The sequence below is a fragment of the Homo sapiens genome, chromosome 22 (assembly GCF_000001405.40).
Source record: "Homo sapiens chromosome 22, GRCh38.p14 Primary Assembly".
Classification (NCBI taxonomy): Eukaryota; Metazoa; Chordata; class Mammalia; order Primates; family Hominidae; genus Homo; species Homo sapiens.
This window is the reverse complement of record NC_000022.11, coordinates 49,205,489-49,211,322: the sequence shown is the minus strand read 5'-3', so window position 1 is coordinate 49,211,322 and position 5,834 is coordinate 49,205,489. Positions and strand designations below refer to the sequence as shown.

The window sequence follows — 5,834 nt, the reverse complement described above, 5'->3', positions numbered from 1 at the left end:
GCTTCTGGACATTCAGCATGGCCTCAGAGGGGCTAAGAACGTCCATTCTGGGGCTGGATGGTTGGGGTTCAAATCCCACCTCTGCCTCTTGCTGGCTCTTTGCCTGGGACAAGTCACCCAACCTCTCCATACCTTGGTTTCCTCAACTATAAGCTGTGGTCATACTTGTACCTGTTTCTTAGAGTTTTTGTCAGGGCTGCCTGAGTTAACACGAGTGAAGCCCACAGTGTTGCCCGCCATGGGCTGAATGTTGTGAGTCTCTGATTATTAAAGGCCACTGTTATGAAAAGGGAACACCCTGACACCGTGTTAGAGAACCACACATGGTGCTTTTGTCTCACTTCATTTAAAAATTGTAAAAAGTTCTTCTTTCCATGTGTTTGTTGAGATACATTATGATTTCCTCTCAAGGTCCATGTTAAACTAAAAATGAAGCTCAAGTATTGACTGACACAGCTGTAAGGCCAAGCCAGGCCCCTGCGTCTACTTCACGCCTGATCTTCACTGGGCCATGTTCAACGCTGGGCCAACCTCGCCCCAGGCTCTGTTTGAGGAATCTAATGATGATGACCAAGACCAGGCACCCTTGTGAGGTCACAGTCCCCCAGAGAAGCAGGAACTCCCCTTCTGCCAACATCAGTTCAGAGTGAGAGTAATGGTCCCAGAGATGCGGATGTTCATCCTCGTGAGTCCTCTTGGAAACCATGAGTTGTCTAAGTGCTAAGAAAATGTAGACAGTATTCTACTGCATTAAAAATTATGGCCGGGCATGGTGGCTCACGCCTGCAATCCCAGCACTTTGGGAGGCCGAGGTGGGTGGGCCACGAGGTCAGGAGATCGAGACCATCATGGCCAACACGGTGAAACCCCATCTCTACTAAAAATACAAAAAAATTAGTTGAGCGTGGTGGCAGACACCTGTAATCCCAGCTACTCGGGAGGCTGAGGCAGCAGAATCCCCTGAACCTGGGAGATGGAGGTTGCAGTGAGCCGAGATTGCGCCACTGCACTCCAGCCTGGGCGACAGAGCAAGGCTCCATCTCAATATATATATATATATATAATTTATGGCATCCAATTGTCAAGATCTAATCGTCCTACAGGGAAGTGGCTTGAATGTTCCTGCTGCTCTGTCCATTCTAGACATGGATCAATGGGAAATACAAAAGATTTGGGATGAAAGCGATTGAGCAGGAGGAAGCACACACATTCCCGACACTGAAGCAGGGCCCCTGGGCTGTAGCTCCCCTCCCCCACCCCTCCAGGGGCTGCCCGGCTGTCCTGGCATCCAGCCCAGAAAAGCTGCGCTCCCTGGGAACGGCTTGGAGCAGATGAGCGCTTACAGCATTGCACCATCCTGGTAATTCATTAATGACAGCGCAGCACAGCGTGGGCAGCTTTCCTGTCGGGGTGCGTTCTACAGGAGGAGAGCTTGTTTGCTTCCAAAGTTTATAAGCTGAAAATAGGAAAGGAAATTATTCTAAGGAAGTAGCAATCCTGCCCCCAAACAAGGAAACTTCTAGAAATTAAAGCATAATGGAAGAGAAGCGGCTTGTCTTTCTCCAGGCAGGTCAGCCTGAAGTGGGAGACATCTCTGCAGAAGCCACACAGCCATTCCGCAGCCATGGAGGGAGTGTCTGCTGTGCATGGGTCACTGTCCTGGGGCCTGGAGCTCCCTGGGGAGACAATGACCAAGGCCCAGGCCTGGTGGGATTTGCACTTTAGCGGGCGGAGGTAGGTGGAGAATATGTCATTACAGAATCACAAACTAAGCCTCAGGATGAGAGGCTGGGGTGCAGAGGTGCAGAAGGCCTCATGTGGTGGCAGGGGTGTGCACAGTGTCCATAGGTGTGGGGGTTAAACGGCAAATGAGCCCAGGGCCCTGTCACAAGGCCGTCAGGGACCTGGTAAGAATAAGGGCAGGCAGCACATCACACTTATATGGAGAGCGCCGTTTCCAAGGGGTTGAGTCTATGAATCAACTTAATTATCATAACCATCTTACGAGGTCTCCAAGGTCTACGTGACTGTCCCAGGGTCTCACAGCTGGAAGTGGTGGAGCCCAGATGAACTCACACGTCTGGCTACAGGGTCCATGCTGTGTCTACTGGAAAGACACGGAGAAAGCCCCTGCAAACGGCTCCAGAGAGGGCCAACAGTGAGTGCGGCAGGTGTGTGTGCCGCCCCCTCTGCCAGCCTGGTGGAGGTGAGGTCAAGCAAGGCATGGAGTGTAGTAAGAAGGTGACACTGATGGCCAAGACCCGGCATGTGAATGAATGAATGAGTGAAAAAATGAATGCCTGATGCACGGGTGAGCAGAATATGAATCTGGGGCAGCCTACCGAGTTAACGAAGGAGGTCACCCTGCCCAACAAATGCTTCGCGGCTCTGCAGCGGGGGTTCCCTACCCCGCCGCTCCCTTGCTTCCCTGACATCTTCAGCACCTGGGACAGCTCCTGCCACCCCTGAGGGTTCAAAGGCACCGAGCCTGGGGCAGAGAAGACTCAGGTTTCTATTCCTTTTCACAACAAGCCTCCACAGCCTTTAGTTCAATTCTCACAATCCCAAGAGGCCAGTGACGTTTCCTCTCTCGACAGATGATTTCACACATGAGTTTATTAACATAATTTTAGGCCATAAGTCTTTTTACATGAGCTATTTACTATAAAGGCAACACAGTAAAACCCAGTGTTCCACACTTGCTGGGCAAAAGCGAGGGAGGTGGTACACGTGTGATTCCAGCTCGCTGTGATCTGTCCATGAGGGGTGGGGTATATGTGGAGAAGGGGAGGAGGACCCTGAGGCTGGGACACGGAGACAGGTCTAGGCCTCAATGATGAGGTGCCTGGGAGGGGAAAGGGACAGAGAATGCAGCCTAGGGTCATGGTCTGGCTCTCGTTCCCAGGGGAATTTTTACATTCCTCCCTCAATTATCATGCCTGAGTTGAGGTCTGTGGCCTTTGGGGTGGCTGATGGACCCCACAGAGGGGCCAGGCCACTGGGGGAGAGGCACCCAGAGAAAGTCTTGGAAGCAGATGCCCCCCTGCCAAGCTCACTGGACTGTGATGTCTAGGGCCATCTAGGGCCACTCCTGAGCCCAGGCACAATGTGGGCACTGCCTGTGGGGGGTGGGCTGCCCAGACACTGGGAATGAGCTCAGGGTCCCCCCAAGACCCGGCACGAATGGCAGCTGCTACTCCCACACATGATACCTGTCCCTGTGTGGCTGCTGGGACCACAAGGAGCCTGGAAGAGCTTCCTCCCCACTTCTCTCTGAAAGCTGGATGCAGCTACAAACCACAGCCCTGAGGTTCCCTGATTTGTTTTCTTTGTGGGAAAACTTTGAATGAGAACTGAGGGTGTCTCTGGCCCCCATGTCCCAGGCTCATCAGGTTTTGTTCCTCAGCCTTGGCTATGGCTCCTTAGAAGCCATCAGGCCTGGCTCCGTGGCCTTCGAGGTTTGGGAGCTGACAATTTTGGTTACCAGGCAACAGCTGATTTTTCATAACCAACAAGTGCAATGCCACACATGATACATTTATCAGATCATAACGCGGCTTCCCCACACCAGCACAAGCTGATTAAACCCCAAAGAGCTGCTCTGCAAAGAACGCAGGCACCCTGAGTTAGGCAGGACCCCAAGATACAACTCAAAGGGAGAAGCCCCCAGAGAAGAGGATGGGAGACCCTCACACCAGAGTCCAGCTGTCGCCAGTTGGGTCCTGTGGCTGAGCTTCCATGGACGCCATCTGCCATTCAGTGTCGGTGGTGGTGGACATGAGGCCCGGGGAGCCGGATGTCGTGAAATCCATGGGCTCCTCCTCTGACTGTGGCTTGTGAGCCAGAGCCTGTGGATTTAACCTCTTCTGGTTCCTTCCCCCTCCCTCTCACTCTCTCGGGAAGAAAGGATCACCTACCTGGAGGGGCATTGTCTCTTCAAGACCAGGGAAACCCACGGCTCTCATGGCTGTGGCTGCCATGATTTGGGGATGAGTGGCTTTCCAGGACTCCTGGTGCCTTGCAGGGCTGAGGGTCGGGCTTGCTGGGCCTCTGGACAAAGCTGGACTCCAAGGCCCCATCTGAGGAGCCACAGAGAACTGGTTTGGAGACATCTGGGTGATGAGCAGGGGGCCCTGCAGCCATAGTCCCGCCTGTGACCTTACACATGGGAGTCCATGGAGTGTGGGCATCCACACCTCCTGCACCTGAAGGAGAGTTGAGCAAAGTCTTCCTGGGAGGGCGTGACACCTGCCCCCTCTCCAGGCCCCCTGGTTTCCCTGTAAGAAAATAGCCATTCAAGGGCTCTTCTGGGCCCCCTCCTACCTAAATAATGGAGCATCCTGAGGCCATTTCCAAACAGCCAGGACAATGCTGGGAACACCTTCAGTGATTTGTCACCACGGCTGACCCATTTTCGGTGTCTGTCCTTGGGAATTCTTTTATGGCTCCTGATAAATTCCTTCTGGAGAGAAGACAGGGAGGCGAAGGAGGTGAAAAAGCATTCAGGTTTTCACGAATACACAGCAGCACCCTCACTATGGAAAACATTTAGAAGGGGTTGTCTGTTTTTCATAAGACGCTCCCATGCTAACTTTGAGATGGTGGCAGGTGTGTTTTTCCTTTAGGACAGTGATTACTGAACCATGAGTCCAGTAGCGAGTTGGAGATTTCCACGTAGAGATAGGCATGTCCACGGAGGGTGTGGGTTAGCACGGGGGAGCCCATGAAGGGATGCAGTCCTGGTAGCGCACGCAGCACACTTCACACCTCACAGACACTTAGCGAGAGCGAGGCAGGCAGAGGGAGGGTGGCTGGAGGCAGCGGGAGGCAGCTCTGTGCGCTGCTGTGTTAGTAGGTGGAGGAGGCATTGCACGCTTTCACTGGGGGATGACAAGTTCTTGTTGAACTTGAAGGATATCTTCATGGCTGCTGAGGGACAGCTGACGTCACACTGAGTAACAGATGTAAGTCAGCACTGTCTATGTACAGAGCAAGTGTCTGGCAGGAGGTGGGGGACTCAAAGGTAAATGAGACAGAACCTTTGAGGTTTCACGGATCAGCATCGGGAGGATGGATCAGCGTCTGGAGGGTGCCATGACCAATGGTTGGCTTAAACAACACAGATTTATCCTCTCACTATCCTGGAGGCTGGAAGTCCAAGATTAAGGTGTGGGTGGGGCTCGTTCCTCCCAAGGCCTCTCCTTGGCTTGTAGACGTTTTCCCCTCCTTGTGTCCTCACACAGATGTCCCTCTGTGCCTGTTCTGTGCCCTCATCTCCCCTTCTTATGAGGACACTAGTCATATTGTGTTAGGACTCACCCAAATGACCTCAGTTTAACTTAATTACCTCTTTAAAGACCCAGCCTCCACATACAGTCACATTCTGAGGAGCTGGGGGTTTAGATCTCAATACATGAATGTGGGGGCAATTCCAACCCTCACCCACAACCTCACACTGGGTTGCAGGAGTCCCTACTGCCTGCTTTGTCATTATCAGAGTGGCCCCACCAGCCTGGAGAATGAGCCACGTCCACCCCTTCCTCCCAGCCTGGAGGATGGATCATGTGCACCCTGCCCTCCCATCATGGAGGATGGATCACGTGCACTCTGCCCTCCCAGCATGGAGGTCGTATCAGGTGCACTCTGACCTCCCAGCATGGAGGTTGGACCACATGCACCTTGCCCTCCCAGCATGGAGGTTGGACTGCCTCTACCCTGCCTTCCCAGCATGAAGGTCAGGCCACGTGCACTCTGCCCTCTCAGTATGGAGGTCAGGCCACGTCCACCCTACCCTCCCAGCATGGAGGATGGACCTCATGCACCCTGCCCTCCCA

General features: G+C 53.4%; 1 annotated feature.

Moving 5' to 3' along the window:
• Nucleotides 2,353-2,553: a silencer, noted in NCBI's record as "peak4516 fragment used in MPRA reporter construct". NCBI's record gives its function as "represses an SCP1 promoter by STARR-seq MPRAs in K562 erythroleukemia cells {active_cell/tissue: K562}" and the evidence as "EXISTENCE:reporter gene assay evidence [ECO:0000049][PMID:32103011]".